Raw genomic sequence first — 19,531 nt, forward strand, 5'->3', positions numbered from 1 at the left:
AGTTAGTCTTTGAAAATGGGGGAAAAGAAAACCTTTCTAAGTGGAAGAACAAAGAAAGAGAAACTTCTTGCTCAATAGGTTTAATTCAGATAAATAGTTATTGATTTCTTACTGTATGTGCCTACATTGAGGGGTACGAGTGGAGAAAATGAAGTCTCTCTTAGTCTTCTGCTTGTGACCAAATATCTATCCACAGAAAAAGATGATATAAAACAATTTTATCTAATATTGAATTATTACACAAAGACTTGATGCAATGAATATATCAGAGAATTGAGGAATTGGATGGTGGTCTGAGAGCGAGTGGAACCTGAGCTGGGCCTAATGGCTGGAAAGGATTTGAACAGATGCTTATTCTAGGTCCGGAGGAGAGCATGAGCACTTCAGAGAGGGAAGTACTCATGGGAGACCATGCAGAGAGCAGCCTAACCAAAGTGGAGGCCATGCTGGCCATAGAAGGAGAGTGGGTCAGATTCTGGAAGGCCTAGCATACCTGGTGGGGGTGATGGGGCTGGATCTGGTATGTGACAGTAAAGATAATAAATACTGCTTACTGCACAGCTTTCTGTTTTGGAGAACAATGGTTAGTCCTATTAAGGAAACCAAAGACTCAGAGAAATGTGGAGAGGATGACAGGGTGGAGTGAAGGGGCTATCTGTTAGGAAGGCACTGCCCAGGCTCTTGGATGACTATCTTGCTGTGATTCCAGTATCCAGGCATGAACCCTAGGCAGAAATACCTCAGCCCTGAGCCACTCATTTAAAGGCAAATTTTATTGCTATGGATTTCTCCCTCCTGGTAAATGTTACAAGTCAATGACTCAATGGTTGTGGTTCCATTAAAGCCCTTCGTATTAGTCCATTTTGCATTGCTATAAAGGAATTACTGAGACTGGGTAATTTGTAAAGAATAAAGGTTTATTTGGCTCACGCTTCTGCAGGCTATTTACAAGCATGGTGCCAGCACTGCTGGGCTTCTGGTGAGGCCTCAGGAAGCTTGGCATAAGGGACGGGGAACAGGTGTATCTCATAGTGAGAGAGGAAATGAGAGAGAAGGAGGCACCAGGTGTTTTTTAACAATCAGTTTTCATGTGAACTAATAGAGTGAGAATTCACTTATTGCTATGGGGAGGGCACCAAGCTATTTGTAAGCGACCCATCCCTATGGCCCAAACACCTCCCATTAGGGCCCACCTCCAACACTGGGGATCACATTTCAACCTGTGACTTGGAGGGGACAAACATCTAAAGGATATCATTCTTTAAAAAGAAATCCATTTTTACGTGCATACTGTGGCCAGGTGGTATTTTGTCATCTCTTCACCCATTTCATTCATTCCATTGGCATATCTGGCTGAAAGTTTGTATCGCAAACAGAAGGGGCAGCTTTTACATAGCTTTGTTTTTGCAATCCAGCTGTTTGAGGGATAGCAATCTGCCTGGGGAGTGGAGAACTGGTTTTCAGAGTTACAGGACCTTGGGGAAACAGTCACTGAGGGGCACCCCTGAAAGAGGCAACAGGAGAAAGGAGCTCTCATTCTGCCCAATTCCCACAACTTCCTCTGGGAGACGGCCTGTGAAGATTTAACAGCCCTCAGTGCAGGATGTGATGAGCTGGCAAAGAAAAGACTTTAGCTGATAAAACAAATGAAGAATGTTGAAGCTCATTAAACAAGAAACAATCAAGCATGTGCAGAAGAGTGCCACCCTTCTATATGATATGGGTATTTTAAGACAGTGGATAGAACCTTTTTTCAGACACATAAATGGGGTATGGAAGTCAGGAAGTAAAGACGATGAACATCTACACCTTTGGGCCTGGGGACTTTTGGGGAGAGTTGGCTGGATTGGGGCTTGGTTCTGTGATGCCTGTCATACATAAGCGGTATAGGCCAATGGAAAGAAGCTAGGTTTTGGAGAGTCAGGTGTGTCTGTCATTTCAGTTCTGTCCTTTCCACTTTCCAACGGGTGACTTGGGCAAGGTATTTAGGCTCTTGGAGCCTAATATTTAGTCTAAATGCTCATCTATAAAATGATAATATAAAACACACCTTATGGTATGGCTTAGAGTAAAGAAGCTATCTATGAAAGCACCTGCCCTCATGTCTAACACATGGTAGATACCTGAGAAATGTTAGTCCCCCTTCCCCATCTGTCTGTTTTTCTGGGGATGAGGGGATGGTGGTAGTACTAGAGAAGTGGAATCAAGGACTTATGTATTAAGACTTTTATTAGGCTTGAGAGCAAGAGTTAGAAGAAACCTCCAAATGTCCTTCTAGTGATTAGGACTGGTTCAGGATAGGAAAAGGGAAAGAGTTTCAGAGCAAGGATCTGCTTCAGGAAAAAAAAATATATATAGATAGATAGCTGGGTCTTGAAACTGGTTCAAGAGAATGAACCTTATATGGGATAATATTAATTTTCAGAGGAACCAGTTGTGGAGAAGACAAATTCTATTCTTGAATGACTTTAGTAACTTAATTGTTCAACGCAAAGAAAGTTCTGGGGGAGATTAGTGGTAAGAGCTCGCTCTCTGAATGCTAAAATTCTAGCTGGAGCGATGTCCCTACAGTTGTATTAAAATTAAGAAGATAAGCCTTTGGGATAGGTAACATGACCTATGCCTCAAGACATTCAACATCTCCATCTTGGTTTCTCTATCTCTAAAATGGTATTTACAGTATGAACCCTTCCCATATGTTGTTATGGGATGAATTATGTCTCTTCCAAAATCTGTATGTTGAAGTTCTTATTCCCACCACTTTAGAATGTGCCTACATTTGCAGATGGGGCTTTTAAAGAGGGAATTAAATTAAAGTGAAGCTGTTAGGGTGTGCTCTTATCCAATGTAATTGATGTCCTTATTAGGAGAGGAGATTAGGAGACAGAAAAGCACAGGGGGAAGACCATGTGAAGACACAGGGAGAAAACAGCCATCTGCAAGCCATGGAGTGAGAACTTAGAAGATGTCAACCCTGCCAACACCTTGATCTTGGACTTCTAGCCTCTAGAATTATGAGAGAATACATTTATGGTTTTTTTTGTTTGTTTGTTTTTGAGACAGAGTTTCGCTCTTGTTACCCAGGCTGGAGTGCAATGGCGCAATCTTGGCTCACTGCAACCTCTGCCTCCTGGGTTCAGGCAATTCTTCTTCCTCAGCCTCCCAAGTAGCTGAGATTATAGGCACCTGCCACCACACCTGGCTAATTTTTGTATTTTTAGTAGAGACAGGGTTTCACCATGTTGGCCAAGCTGGCCTTGAACTCCTGACCTCTGATGATCTGCCTTGGCCTCCCAAAGTGCTGGGATTACAGGCGTGAGCCACCACACCCAGTCAACAAATTTATGTTTTAAGCTGTCCAGCCTGTGGTAGTTTGTTATGGCTAACCTAGCAAGCTAATATACATGCCTAGAGATATTTTTAGATGAATGAAATTCTTCATGAGAATATGTATTTATTTATTGGAACAAAAGTTGGATACAATGCATTATTATCATTACAAGTCTGCACAAACAAGCTTTTTATTCTTAGCTCCACTGTGGGGTCTTTTATTTCCATTTTCAAAATAATAGGCCAATAATAGGGTGGATTTTATTTCAGGCAATTCCAATCTAAATATTTGTTGAAGTTAGCTATTTGCAAAAAGCATCAGAGCAGCTAGTATAGTGTAGTAGTTATAAAGACAAACATGATGCAGTGTTGTACTGCAAGGAGTTTGTTGTGAAAATGGCCATCCGTTTATATTCTCAAAGCAACTATCTTGAAGAAACCAATTACAGTGGATGTGGTGAGGCACTACCATGACCTTCCTTTCAGGATCAAGTCACTCATTCCCCCAGCTGCCAGGAGTGTTGCTGGCTAATGGCTTACAGCTGTTCTCAAGCTGCACCCAAGACTGGGTAATTTATAAAGGAAAGAAGATTAATTGACTCACAGTTCAGCATGGCTGGAGAGGCCTCACAATCATGGCTGAAGGCAAAGGCACGTCTTACATGGTGGCAGGCAAGAGAGCTTGTGTAGGAGAATATCCCTTTATAAAACCAGCAGATCTCATGAGACTTATTCACTATCATGAGAACAGCACCAGAAAGACCCACCCCATGATTAAATTACCTCTCACTGGGTCCCTCCCACAACACGTGGGAATTATGAGAGCTACAATTCAAGATGAGATTTGGGTGGGGACAAACCACATCACACCCTAAGCATTGTCCTCCAAGAACTGAAGTAAACTGCCTCTCTCTATATCATGCCAAGGTCAGCTTGCATGCAATGATTGAATGACATTAACCATAAAGGCCTTGCTCAATTTGGAACATTTCTGAAGGACCACTCAGCTCCAGAGCTTCCTGTGGGATCAGCAGAGGCCACTGTTCATTGCTTCATAGTTCATCTCTTCCTTCTTCCCAATCTGGCTGCTTTCATTCCCCCTCAGAAATACTCCCCAATAAACTTTATGCAAACAAACCTCCATCTCAGATTCTGCTCTTCAGGGAATGTGAACAAGGATGCCATTCATAGAAAACTATTTTTTTTGGTATACTAATGATATTCTTTGCTCAGAGTAAGTGGAAGTAATTGATAGTCTGATGTTTTGCACGATAGACTGTATGTTTATGAAAATTTTCTGACAGAGAACATGTGCTCAATGGAAGTAGGGCTCACTTAAAAAAAATAAGCCACATAGCAGCCAAATAAATCTGGGATCCAAATATTTTGAGTTACTAAGCCATTATTAGAGAGCTACCCATCAGTGACCTTGCAGGCTACTGGAACTATGTAAAGAGAAAACACAGGGCTGATGTGGCTACCCAGGATAAATGCACCTTGAGATATGATTGTTCCTCCCAGGAATGGGCCACCCATTTCCAAAGGAGCTCTGATTTTAGTGTACAAGCAGTCTATATTCTAGTGTTCTTGGTTTTCAGAGTGATTTATTGTAAAGAAATCAGGAAATAAATCAGGCTCTGGAATATGTTCTGAGCTCTGAGAACACCTGAGTACCACCAGTCATGTAAGTCATAACTCTTCTGTCCATCTCTTTCTTCACCTCTCACCATGGACAGAGTGGAAAAATGGGCTGCAATCAATCCTGAATCTCCAAGTCCCTGATCTGCTGTTGTCACAAAGAAAAACTGCAGAGAGGATGTTTCAATCATGTCTCTTTTTCACAAGGACTTCTTAGTGCAATAATATTCCTATGAGGAAGTCAGTCTTGGTGAATGGGGCTGGACCAGGCACCTGGGATCCACAAGAACACCTTTGTCTTTCTGGGGTAAGGTCACGTGTCTTTCTTGGTTATTTCCTGTCTAATCTTTGCTCTCTGTTTTTTAAAGAAAAGTGTTTCAAATATAAGTGAATCTTTCACCGTAGACACTGAAGCAGTGGCTTAAGCTGCAGACTCAAGGCTTCCTGCTTAAGGTTTCCTACTACAGTCTACTTGAGTCACCTCTGAATCATGCTGTCTGCCTAGAATCTTCACCTTAGCCCTTACCTCCTAGCTTCTGCACTGTTATAATGAGGCCTTTTACTTACCAGCTCAGCTTTGCCCATTTTTGAGCCAATGCCAATAATTTGGAAAGCATGCTCAGAGTTTCATGCACAGCAGTGATTAGGACCTGGGATTTGCTACCATCAACCTGGTTTAGGTGAGATGAAGATGAGCCAGGGGTTCTGGGTGTCTTCAGCCTGTTGTTGTTTCCTTTATCTCCTGTATTGGCAGGGTCTGGTTTACTAAACAGCTATCATGCTGTGGTTAGTGTCCTGATCTGAGTTGTACCTTGTAAGACCAGAGCTCTCACACCTCCTCTGGGCAGCTTGGTTCTTGGATGCTGTCCCATGCTCTGGCTGGACCTTGCTCCATTGGTCAGCCCCCTGAGATCACTTGTCACCACCCACTCCTGGTCTGGCTACTGTACCCTGTGAAGTATCCTAGACCCCTTAGGCAGTGCTCATGGCCAGTCAAGCCCTGGCTACTCAGCCCGTCTGGGCTCTGGGAGTTGGGTAGCTGCTCACTCCACATAGGAATAGTCCTCTAGGCAAGTGAGCTCAGTCCAGCTTCCTGTCCATTCCCATAAGCTTCCTCTGTTGAGGTCTCAGAAGATTTCAAGGAAGAGCTGCTTCTTTCTTCCATCCCCTGCTGCTGCTGTCCAGCCCTGTCACCAAAGGGAGCTAAGTGGAGAAGACCTGCACATAAAAAGTCCCCCCAATAGGGTTAAAGAAAACAATTATTTCATTTTTTTTTATGTTTTAATCAATGTGTATATAAGGGTCTCCAATATGTAATGATTCTGCTTAGACCCCAATCTCTGAAGAAATGTTTTTCCCTAGTGAAGTTCACTTCACTTAAACTTCAGGATCAACCTCGCCTTAGGCTTTAGGACTGATTTTGACCTTCAGAAGGAAGTATAAGAAGTCTTTTTCATTATGAGCTGAGTGATTCAATATCTAATGAAACTCCTTGCTTATTTTTTGATCATGTGCCCCAGTTGTAACAGGGCTTCCACCATTCTCCTGGAGCCAACTTTCCATATTGTACCAGCCCTAATAGCGACTCTGTGCCATGTATTGATCCTCCTTTCTGATTTTAAGTCCATATAAATCTGGGCCTTCACTTTGCTCCAGTCTTTCCTTTTCCCCAGGGACTGATTCCCAGATCCCTCCCTGACTTGAGTAGGAGTCTGCTCCCAGATACCTTAATCACATACTTGCCCACTTACTAGGAAACCCTTCTTATCTCCTACAGGAGCTCCTTCTTGCACAATATTTGCTTGAAATGCCATCTGTTTCTTATTGTATATTTCAAAACACATTTATTGATGCAAAATTTATTGAGCATCTTCGCTGGACTTTTAATTGTGAACAAAACCCAGTCCCTGTCTTCAAAGAGCTTATAGTTTACAGAAGGAGAGAGACAAATAGGAAATATGAGGAGTAGATAACTGAAAAACATTATTTAACTTGCCAATTTTATCTGCACAGGAGTCCTGTGAGGGAGACATTATTATCTCCACTTTAATAGAAGTGGAAAGTGAGACTCAGATAGGTGAAGTCGGTTGGTCTGGGTCACATAGAAAGAGGCAGAGTTAGGTTTAAAACTTTGCTGTCCTGAGCCTAAAGAGGCAGAGTTAGGTTTAAAACTTTGCTGTCCTAAGCCTAACCTTATGCAATGATGAGTCTAAATACAGTTTGTCAATATACACAAAAACAATCTGCTGAATTTTGATTGGAATTAAATTGAATTTGTAGGAAGTTAATATCTTTGCAGATTTTTGTCTTTAATTCATCAACATAGTTTACCCTTCCATCTTAGTCTTTTGGTCAATGGGTTTTCTTTAATTTCTCCACATGTTTTGTAGTTTTCTCTGTGTCTTGTATATTTTTCACTTTTAGGTATTTGGTGTTTTTTGATATTTTTGTTATTTTAAAAGTATTCGTTTTTAATTGTTTTTCTGTTATGTAGAAAAAAATTTCCTTCTTTGTGTATTGCTCCTACATCTAGCAGCCTTGCTAAATTTACTTATATTTTCTAATCTCTTATCTGTAGATTTTTCTATGTATACAATCTAGTGTTAAATGAATAAAGACAGCCCTCTATTTTTGAATACTCACATCTTTATTTTTCTTGTCCTACTATTCTTACGTCATTTAATTATCTGAATAAATAATGAATAATTAGGATGTCATAGGACATACTTTTCTCTGACTAATTTCTCAAGTTTCTGTTTTCTTTACTAGATTAAAACTGAGACTTGTTCAACAATGACCCTTAACTACTCTACAATCTGCTGTCAGCCAGAGTTAGGAGTGGGTGACAACAGAGTTGCTAAGAGTTATATCTGTGTAGTTTTTGGAGAGCTTCCCTCTATGATTAATTTATGAGTAAGGGTTTCATTCTTTTCACTGTAGCTCACAGAAGTCATGTCTTGTTAGTATTGCCTTGTGTTTATTTCTTTATGCACAAACAACACCTTAAAAATGAGAGAGAGAGAGAGAGAGAGAGAGAGAGAGAGAGAGAGAGAGAGACTGAGTTTGTTAAAAAGCTTTTCCAAGCCTTATTTTCCTATTTTGTAGTCAGCACCTCCATAATGCCTTGAGAACCTCTCTAGTGTCCCTACACTACTGTGAGGCTTATGGTGTCACTGTAGGAACTAGAAATTAAGTCATGATTAACTTTGGATAAATGAAACCCTTGCTTTATTCCTATGCTGAAGAGGCCAGCAGTTATTCCTATGTGGGAGAGGCTCAAAGTAGCACCCAGCTCCCAATTCAGAGAGCCATACTATTACTAATCTTAGTAAATACTTTACTTGAGCTTGTCTTTGGCTGGGTACCAAATGCTGATACCCTACACCAAATGATAATCCTGATATTCACCCTTTAAGTTTTTATTGTATTTTATTAGTGGAGCAATTGTGGAGAGGCCTAAGATTAAGATTCTTACACAATATACATTGTATAATTCAGATTTTTAGATTTATGGTATTAGACATATACTCACCCAAATAACTTCTTGACTTTGTGACTGGTATTTATTGCCCATTAAATATGGAAAAATGCACATAAACATCAACACTTATTTCTATGAGGAAGAGGGTAAAGGTTATAGATAGAAAATTGGGGCTAGTGACTGAGAATCAAAATTTAGGTTTTCTAACATGCACAAAGCTTTCTCAAGTATATCATTTTTCACCTAGTACATTAATATGATTGCATAGTTTTGAGCAAAAAATTGAGGTGTATGGCTTAATAGTTCTATTTATCTGTCTATTTAGTAGACATTATCTGTATTTAGTAGACATATAGTCTCAAGCCATGTACTCATGTGTATAAGAAATAGAATTTTTAAAAATCTCAACTTAATTTTAAACCTTGCTTTACCTTTAGCAAAATTATATATGTATGTATAAATTGAGCCCATTCAAAATAAACTCATTTTCTCTAGGCGAATTTCAATCAGTTCAGGATTTGTCCTCCTTACTCCCTCCCTCTCTTTTCTTCCTGAGATTCCATTTAAGTTCTAGGGGCTTCCATAGTTTTGTGTGTCAGCATAAAGGAGGTCTCAAATCTTGGGCTGCTGTTTCTATGAGGGCATCTGCCCTGGCTCTGTACCATCTGGTCTTTGGGGATAGTCATCACTCTTTCCCAGCATCTGCTAAGATTTCTATGACTATATCTAGACAAATGGCTTGTTTTACTTCTTTCTCCTCTTCTCTTTCTCCTAACTTCCATGTCCTTTTCTCAGGTGTGTGGAGAGGATACAGGTGGTATCTCACGTCTCTCTGAAGTCAGGGGAAACACAGTCAGGTTGCTTATCCCTCTCTGCCCCTAACAGCTCCCACAGCCTTTTTCCCTCTACACCCCCTGCCACTATAGTGTGTTGAATGTTTGTGAGTCTGTCTGCTATATTCCAAAATCCCAGGTAGGGGTGTGGACAAGTTTCCTCCTTTCTTGGTTCCCCAAACTTATCATCTGCTTTCTCCCTACACTCTCTGCCAACCTGGGATCTAACCCCAGAGCTCAGGACCTGTCTTAGACACCTTCGCCAGTAGCAAATGATTTTCCTGCTTCTCCATGTCTTCTCTCCCCACAGCCAGGAGAATCCTAACCTATTTTGTGAATGCCAAAACCCATTTTGAATCTGGAAAAAAAAATCTTCAAGTATTATTTTAAAACTTTTTGTTTTAAGTTTGAAAAACTTATATTTTCAAAATTAAAAAGCTAGGAATTGGATGTTTGAGCCTGGTAATGATGGTAGCTGGAATTAATGTCCACTTCATATCTATAAGCTCAAGTGGGGTGCAGGAGAAGGTCATGAAGTTAAATAGGATTTGTATGTGTGAAACACATTAATACCTCACATTTGTCTGAATATCAAATCATCTATCCATCCATCCATTCATCCATCCTTTGAATACTCCAGAAAAAAATGTTGATGCTGTTTGACTTTAGCATGTCAGGGCAGAGTATTAAAAAATCAAGACACGTTAAAAGTTCCAGAACTTATGGTAGCAGTAGTAGACAAAGTAATGGCCCCTGAAGATAGACATGCCCTGAAACCTGAGATTATGTTAGGTTACATGGCAAAGGGGAATGAAGGTTGCAGATGAAATTGAATTTGCTAATTAGCTGACTTTAACGTGGGTAAGATTATCCTGGGTTATCCAGGTAGCCCCAATATAATTACAAGTGTTCTTATAAGTGCAAGAGGGAGGCAAGAGAGATATAAAGCTGCTTTGCTGCTGGCTTTGAGTTTGGAGGAAGGGGCTGTGAGCCCAGGAATGCATGTATCCATTAGAAACTGGAAAAGGAAAGGAAAAGCATTCTTCCCTGGAGCATCCAGAAGGAATGCAGCCCAGCTGACACCTTGGTTTTAGTCCAGTGAGGCCCACTTTTGATTTCTAACCTGCAAAACTGTAAGATAACACATTGTGATATTTTAAGCCAATAAGTTTTGGTGATTTGTCACAGCAATGATAAAAACTAATACAGTAGCTGTGACTATATAGTCATAAATAACTTATTAGGCAAATTAACTTAAAACTTGGCTAACAGGGCAGACACAACTGATTTTAATAAACACTTAGGCACCACCTGGTGGTTGAAATCTTAGAGTGAGTGATAGCTGAAATGACATCTGTCCAAAGCAGAAGTAAAATGCTCCAAGCATGACACTAAGCTTATTGTTTTTGGTTAAATGATTAAAAATAAAAGGTGGAAGTTTTTATTTGGGTCACCAGATAATACAACGAAGAAAGAAGCTCAACTTGTAAACATTCAGGAATAAAGTATTTTATGGCAAGGACACATGACAGAAAACACGAAGCCAACAAGACCTGCTTAGGAATCATCATTTGCCAGTGATAGGCTTTCACTCCACCCAAACCTTACCTCACAAGGTCTACGAAATCTCCATTCTCTCCATATTAGTTAAGGACAATTACATTTTCTCAGCTGCTATATAAAGTATGATGCAAATGTAGCATTATTTTAACCAGAAAGCACCCCTAATCCTCTCCTATACAGAATCTGGACCTGCTTGTGCACCCATGGCCATTCAAAAGTGCAAGATATCTCGCACCCATTACAATGGCTGCTGTGGAAGGAAAATAAAATCTCGACACCCCCGAACTCTCCATGCCAAAGAGAAGAATTAAGTTTGGGAACTGAATGGTGCAAAACTGCCTCTTGTTTTGTTTCCAAATAGATAGCTGCAAAGATGCAATGCCACTTACCTCCCCAGGGGACCTCCCTCACAATTTGCTTACAATGAAATTCCTTGTGGGCTCCAAGATTTTTACTCTAAGACAGAAATTCTGTTGAATTTCACCCTGACAATGTAAATCAACAGCTTATATTCATAGGTAAGGGACAAGGATAAGATTGGAAGTCATCCTTCTGCTTGCCTGAGACAAATGCATACTTGACTGCTTCTTCTATTCTATGTTTACTTTATCTTATGTAGAAATGCAGATTCACTGAGGAGAAGGCCACACAAATGTGTAGTTGACTGTTTCTCCAGCCCCTCTTTTCACATGTAAAATGTGAATTCAGTGAACAGTGATCAAAGCCTCAAAAGAATGCAACCGATTACCACTTTTATCTACTGTCCTCCTTTTTCTTTCCTCTTTCCTCTACTGCCTGCTCTTTCCCCTTTAAATACTGAAGTCTCCAAACTTTCTTTGGCAAATGTATGGGCTGCAGATCCAACTGTGGCTAGTGTCTCTTTTTCCCTTGTGCATCCTTAACCTTGGCAAAATAAACTTCGAAATTGATCTAGACTTGCCTCAGTCATTTTTCCTTGATTTTACACCACTATAAAACAAAACATAAAATAACAAGTGTTGGCGAGAATACAGAGAAGTTGGAACCCTTGTGCATTGTTGGTGGGATTGTAAAATGGTATAATTGCTGTGGAAAACAGTATGGGAATTCTTCAGTAAATTAAAAATAGGACATAGAACTACTATACAATCCAGCCATCCAACTTCTGGGTATATATCTGAAAAAATTGAAAGTGGGGTCTCATACCAATTCTGTTTACAACTGGTAAGAGGTAGAAAGCAACACACACGTATGGAATATTTTATATATACATATGTATGCATATGTAAATATGGAATATTATTTAATCCTAAAAGCAAGGAAAACCTGTCACATGCTGCAACATAGATGAAACTTGTGAAAATTATCCCAAGTAAATTGAGCCAATCACAAAACACAAATACTACATAATATCACTTATATGAGGTCTAGAAAGTAGTTAGATTCATAGAATGGTGGTTTCCAGAGAAGGGGGGAAAAGAGAATTGTTGAATGGATATATAGTTCCAGCACTAAAAGATGAAAAAGTTGTGGAGATCTCTTTCAAAATAATGTAAATATGCTTAAGACTACTGAACTATACACTTAAACATGGGTAAGACAATAAATTTTACAATGTGTGTTTATTACCATAATAAAATAAAATGCAGAGTAGTGGAGCATGCACAGGACAGAATGAAGGATGGTGAATCCCCTCTTCTAATGACCACAGAGGCCTCTGGCTGAGGCGCCACGAACGTCCCTGCCCACTGAACAGGCAGGTTGAAGGCTGTGGCATTTGAACAGGGTCAACATCTGTGAGCCTCCTTCAGACGGTCTCCAGAGCTGCCTCTCTTTTGCAATTTTTATATGACACAACTACTAAAGCATAGCTTTACCCTTCCGTCTTCTAACCTGATTTTCTGCTATTCATTGAAAACGTTCAATTTTCCCATCAGCCATGAGTCACTTCCTCCTGGTATAAAGATGTGTTCACATTATCCCAGATCTTCCCATCGTATTTTTTTCAGAAAGTGTATAACTTTATGAAGCCTCTGAATATAAAACCTGAACTTCATCACATAACCTATTTTTAAGGAAACTTGATAATACTTGAGCCAACTTAATTCTTTTAGGCCTTTTACCAGCCTGCAATATTCCTTATGTTGACACTCTAGAAGGATATTAAGCAGAGGTAGAGTGTGTGCATGACATGAGACACTACAGGTTTGAATTCTGGTTCCACCATTTCCCTGCTGTGTGCCCTTGGATTCCCCAAATTAGTTTAAGAACTGCCTGGTTGGTCCTTTGGATTCAGCTCTTACCCTCTTACAGTTTAATTCTCGATACAACTGCCTAAGTGATGTCATCAAATTGATCCACATTTTGCCTTATGTTTGTGTTTTTGAAGTTGTGTTTAAAGAAATTCTTCTGTACCCGCAGCCTGTAAAGATGTTTCCCCAGATTGAGGTATTTATTCCATCTACGAACGTGGCTTTCAATGGGAGGGATGTTTAGCAGGGTCTGGAGACATTTTGATTGCAAAAACTTGTGTCATGGGTGGGGCTACTTTGTGGGGCAAAGAAAGAACAAGAATGTGCATTGTTAAGTAAAAAAAAAAAAAAACAAGGAGCAGAGTTGTTGTATATAGCATAGAATATTTGCATAAGAAAGAAAAAAGCTAGAGTAAACACACATGTACTTGTTTATTAAAAATATATCCACAGGGAGAATAAAGCAGAAAATGGTAAATGTGGTTACCATTAGGAGCAGGGCAAAGTGGGGGTGAGGCATAGGTTGTACTGAACACACATGCTTATTAGTTTCCTATAGCGCTATAAAAAATTGTCACAAATTTAGTAGCTTAGAGCAACACATATTTATTATATTACAGTTCTGGAGGTCAAAAGTTTAAAATGGGTCTCCCTGGGCTAAAATCCAAGTGTCAGCAGGGCTATGTCAGCAGGGCTGTGTTCCTTTCTGGAGCTTCTAGGGCAGCATACACTTGCTTGCCTTGTCCGGCTTCCAGAGGCAGCCCACATGTCTTGGCACTGCTCTGCCATCTTCAAAGCCAGCAAGGATGCACTGAGTCTTTCTCACACTGAGTCATTTTGACCTCCTTTTCTGTAGTCAATCTTCCTCTACCTCACTCTTCTGAGTACCTTTTCTACTTTTTTTTTTTTTTCCAGACAGAGTCTTGCTCTGTCGCCCAGGCTGGAGTTCAGTGGCATGATCTCAGCTCACTGCAACCTCCACCTCCCGGATTCAAACAATTCTCCTGCCTTAGCCTCTCGGGTAGCTGGGACTACAGGCACACACTGCCACGCCTGGCTAATTTTTATATTTTTAGTAGAGACGAGGTTTCACCATATTGGCCAGGCTGGTCTTGAACACCTGACCTTGTGATCCACCTGCCTCGGCCTCCCAAAGTGCTGGGATTACAGGAATGAGTCACCGCGCCAGCCTCTACTTTTAAGCATTCTTATAATGACACTGGGCCCACCCAGATAATAAAAGATGACTTCTGCATGTCAAAATCCTTAATCACATCTACAGACTCTCTTTTCCAGGTAAGGTAACGTAGTCACAGATTCTGGGGAGTAAGACATGGACATCTTGGGGGCTGGGGCAAGGTTTGGTCACTTTTCTTCTTTCCATGGCATGGAAATGATATTAAAATATTTTTACTTTTTAACCATGTAAAATGAACACATCAAGAAGAAACTAAACATGAAAATTATATATTTCAATAACATTTTAGGCTGGGTGTGGTGGCTCACACCTGTAATCCCAGCACTTTGGGAGGCCAAGGTGGGTGGATCACGAGGTCAGGGGGATCCAGACCATCCTGGCTAACACAGTGAAACCCCGTCTCTACTAAAAATACAAAAAAAAAAAAAATTAGCCGGGTGTGGTGGCAGTCACCTGTAGTCCCAGCTACTAGGGAGGCTGAGGCAGGAGAATGGTGTGAACCTGGGAGGCAGAGCTTGCAGAGATAGCGCCACTGCACTCCAGCCTGGGCGATAGAGCAAGACTCCATCTCAAAAAAAAAAAAAAAAAACAAACAAAAAAAACATTTTATATGATTCTGTGCACTTAGTCCTCAATACAACACATGAGGCAGTACTGTTATGTACAGGAAACTAAAGGCCTTTATAATTTGTCCAAATAGTAAAGCCAGTTGGTAGCAGAATTATGATTCAAACTCAGTTTGTTATAACTCTGGAATATTTCCCAAGGTCACTTTAAACTCACTAGCATTGAAACACCTAACTGGTGTTCTTTCCATTACTTCACGGCTGCCCACAGTCAGCTGTCATGGCCACCCAAGTCAAGTCTTTCCTTCACTGTGATCTGTTGTGTATATTAATAATAGTAAAATCTCCTGTACTGACAAACTGTTATGAAATGTCCTTTTCAAATTCTTTTAGAAGCTCCTTGCAGCTAGGAAAAATTAATGAGTTGCAATGTAAAACTTCCCTTAGCTATGATCTAGTACCCAAGGGTCAGGGCTGGCTTTGCAGAGGATCAGCTCTGGTAACAGGTAGAAAGTCAGAGTCATTGAACATAGATGCTGGTGGTGAGCAGCAGTGATGGTGGGAGTCTGTGGAAGTTCTCTTCCATTTGCTTCTATTTTCTCAGAGAAATAGAAGAAAGATCATTGGCTGAGAATAAGAATGGGGGAGGAAGTGTGGAATTTCAGAGGAGAAGAGAATGTGTGGAATAGTCACTTTGGAAAGCAAGGTATCTTATGACTGCTGGGCAGCATAAAGAGGCCACTTGATTTAGTGGTCACAAATTTAAAGAGATTGTAGGCAGAGAAGGTGCTGATTTGGATTTAACCAAGTTTGTGGTTTGCCAAGGAAGTGGGAGCAAATGAGAGAGGATAAGGGCATAAAGGGTGCATGCAAAGGTTGACTATGGTGTTTCAGCTGCGTAAAGAGGGGAGCGAAACCATCAAGGAACCAAGGAACAGTGAACAGTAAAGGGATTTAAGAATTGATGAATATTGGTTGTCAGTGTGGTGGAAAGACAGTTGGCATAAAGCATTAGAGGGAGTGAGCTGCAGTTAGGAGGCAGCTGGCAGAGAGTGGGATGTACACACCTGAGGCTGTGAAGGGTGCACAGCTCTGTAAAGGATGGTAATCATGAGGTCTTAGAGTATGACCATGGGGGTAGTCCAGGCGTTAAAAGTCTCAGTTACATGTATATTGAAATGACTAAGGATTAGCACCAAAATAGTAAGAAGTGACGGTGAACCATGAGTTCCTATGGAAAACAAGGAGGCAGAGGCAGAACTTGGGGGCAGCAGATGAGAGTTACAGTGAAATTCAGAATTGAAGGAAAGAGAACAGCCCAAAAGCAGCAATGGAGGTTGTGGGCAGCCAAGGAGGACACTTAGTCCCTTCCAGGTCTGGGGGAAAATCAGCCACTGCTAGAGTGGGCTGCAGGGAATGTCATGTTGGATTTAGCCAAGTTTGTGGTTTGCCAAGGAAGTGGGAGCAAATGAGAGAGGGTTAAGGGCAAAAGGGTACATGCAAAGGATTAACTATGAAGTTTCAGCTGCATAAGGAGGGGAGTGAAACCACCAAGAAGGGCAGGAGCAGTGGACAGCAACGAGATTTAAGAATCAATGAATCATGGGTGTCAGTGGGGTGGAAAGACTCCCGAGGACCTGATTTCTGTTTGAAGAACAAGAAAGTGAGAGAACATTCAGAGAAGAGATGGCAATAAGGGGGATTTGTCCTCTGTGATTTGCTAGGAATCCAAATAGCACAATGGAAGGATCTCAGAATTGGGGGAAAGGTGGAAGAGATGGACAGAATGGGGATGAGCAGACCCTCACAATGTGGGAGATGAGGGGTGGCCTTGCAGTTTGGGGCTTTTGAGGTGGTTTTCATAAACAGGAATAAAGTGAATAATGTGGATCCAAAGGAGAGGGTGGGGTGAGGCTCTGACTAGAGGGGGCCAGAGAGGGTGAGTTTCTAGAGCCCCCTCTTTACACTGATGCTGGGGGTAGGTAAGGTTGTAGGTCAACGGGAGGTGAGTTCTTAGAGCAAGTATACTAGTTCTCTCTTCCTCTGCGGGGCAGTGGGGCTTACCCTAAGGGTGTCTGTTTTCCTTGACCCCATTGTTGATGTCTTGGGAGATCTCTGGAGAAGCAGGTTGGTTGCACTTGTCTTTCTTCAGAATGATGGGGGTTGAGGGCATCATCTTGTTTCTACAACAGAAAAGTATGAAATTCAAATAGCAACACTCCAGGAAACAGTTGAGTTCCCTTAGAAAGGGCAAACCTAACTGATGGCATCTGCAGAAAAAGACAAACATTTGCATTACAGTCATAGGAAGCATTCAGAGGCACTGAGGACAATAGAATCGTGAGTTCTTTCAGTAAATTGATATTCATTGCATATCTACTATATGCCTAACACTGTTCAGGGTGCCACAGGACATGCAATAAGGCAGTGAAACCCAGTGTGTGTCCTTCAAGCAGACTCAGTTAAAAAACAGTGGAAAGTATTAGATATAAAGCCAATGCTGTCCCAAGGAACACAGGCTATCGTGGAAGCTGTTGAAATCTATCTTCTGTTGATCTAGAATTTGATTTTCATAAAGCATTAGCAAATCAAAAGCCAAAAACAAAACTGCAAACACACAGATTGATTTGTTTCTTTGTATTGTTTTCTCTTAGGCACCTTGGATTTTTAAATTTATTACTTTTTAAATGCAGATTACATATATGCTGCAACCAGAAATGCCAGCATCCCATGATGGAAGTTTTTCTTTGCATTCTTGAGAGGACTATATTGAGAACTGAGTATCTATATTTTATATTTCATTTTATTGATAATTGGAAATAGCTGAGAAGTGATAGATCAAGGATTTGAATTCATTGATTCTAAAGCCCATATGACCATATGATTTTAACTCTTATGCGATCTTTTTCTTTCCATCTAGGTCTCGCCCTGTCCTGCCTTCTCTCTTGGTACCAGTTATACTGCTGAATCACTATTAGTGATAGGGACTCATGTGGGTGGGTCATCCAGAAATGATTGTCCTATTTTAAGAACAAATTAAAAGTTGCCTCAGTTGGTGGTGTCTAACTCTTCAACTTAAAAGAGAGAAAATATTAATAGGAATCAACTCTGCTTATTTAACAGGTCAAGCTGGTCTCTGGTGTCCATGGGGACACTTCAGGAGAAACCGATTAACATTGAGATGTGTGGAAACAGGATCAATAATTTTCAGTAACTGAGGAAGATTACCAGAAGCCAAGGCGGCCTTTAACAGAGACTGTGCAGCTCTGAGCCCAGGACTGTTAAGCACTTGGCAGGCAATGGAGAAAGTCTAATTGTGGCTGACGATGAGTCATTTTACACTATTGTCACACCTCCTTTCTCCACATTCCATTTTAGGAACAGTATAACTTTCCCAGCCAGAAATTGTCTAATTTAAACCCTGACTCTTACCTGTGTGAATCAAAATGACTCAGAAAGTGCAAATAAAATAACCCTGAGGAGTCAGTGGTTGTTTCATTTTTCTCATAGCTTCTCTTCTCAGAATTGAGGCCTGTATCTTCCATGTGTATAGAAGAAACAGAAGGGCTAGAGGATTGAATCTGCATGGCAGAAAAAGAAGAAGTCTCACAGGACTAGAAGTTAGAGCATTTTTCCTGACATGAGGATATAGGGTAGATTTATGGCCAAAGTCTTAACTATATGAAAAATAGAGTAGTAAATTTTTTAAAAGGAGAGAGAACTGCTGTTTTTTAAATACAATTAAAACATGGATAAACAAAAAAGAGGGTGCATATAAGTGTGTTTGCCTGTATATATATAAACATGCATAGACACACACATATACATATACATTTTAGTCCTGTATCTTCAGATTCTCTCCCCCATTCATTCTTATGCCTTTTAAGAAATAATCATGGCATAGACTCTAAAAAGAAGACTTAATTCACAAAAACATGGGACATTGGCCTATGAAATGAAGAACAATTAGCACTGAATATTTAGACAACTCATGTGGCTTCATTTAATGCAGCATCCAACAAATACTGATGTTTACAATATTAGCTCTGAATTTCCTAGAATACAAAAATAATTTATATTTCTTATTTTTGTAAAGTACTTTCTAGTTTTGAAGGCTTTTAAATACACATTATCTCATTTGACCCCCCCAAACACTTTGTATGGTAGCCAGAGTATGAATTTTTATTTCCAGTTTATAGGTAAGGAATTGGAAATACACACATCTTAAGCGGTGCACCTGGTATCAAACGATCCTACAAATCATGTATGTTGACTCCTGATCTAATGATGGGTAGAAATATATAACACATGAGGCCGGGCGCGGTGGCTCATGCCTGTAATCCCAGCAGTTTGGGAGGCTGAGGCGGGTGGATCACCTGTGGTCAGGAGTTCGAGATAAGTCTACCCAACATGGCGAAACCCGGTCTCTACTAAAAATACAAAAACTTGGCCGGACATGGTAGCGGCGCCTGTAATCCCAGCTACTCAGGAGGCTGAGGCAGGAGAATGGCGTGAACCCGGGAGATGGAGGTTGCAGTGAGCTGAGATAGCGCCATTGCACTCCAGCCTGGGCGACAAAGCGAGACTCTGTCTCAAAAAAAGAAAAAAAAAAAAAAAGAAATATATAACACATGATTCAAAATTTTCCACCGTCGTAGTATTAAGATCACTGAAATGGTGAGAATGTAAAG

Source organism: Homo sapiens, chromosome 6 (genome assembly GCF_000001405.40).
Source record: "Homo sapiens chromosome 6, GRCh38.p14 Primary Assembly".
Taxonomy (NCBI): domain Eukaryota; kingdom Metazoa; phylum Chordata; class Mammalia; order Primates; family Hominidae; genus Homo; species Homo sapiens.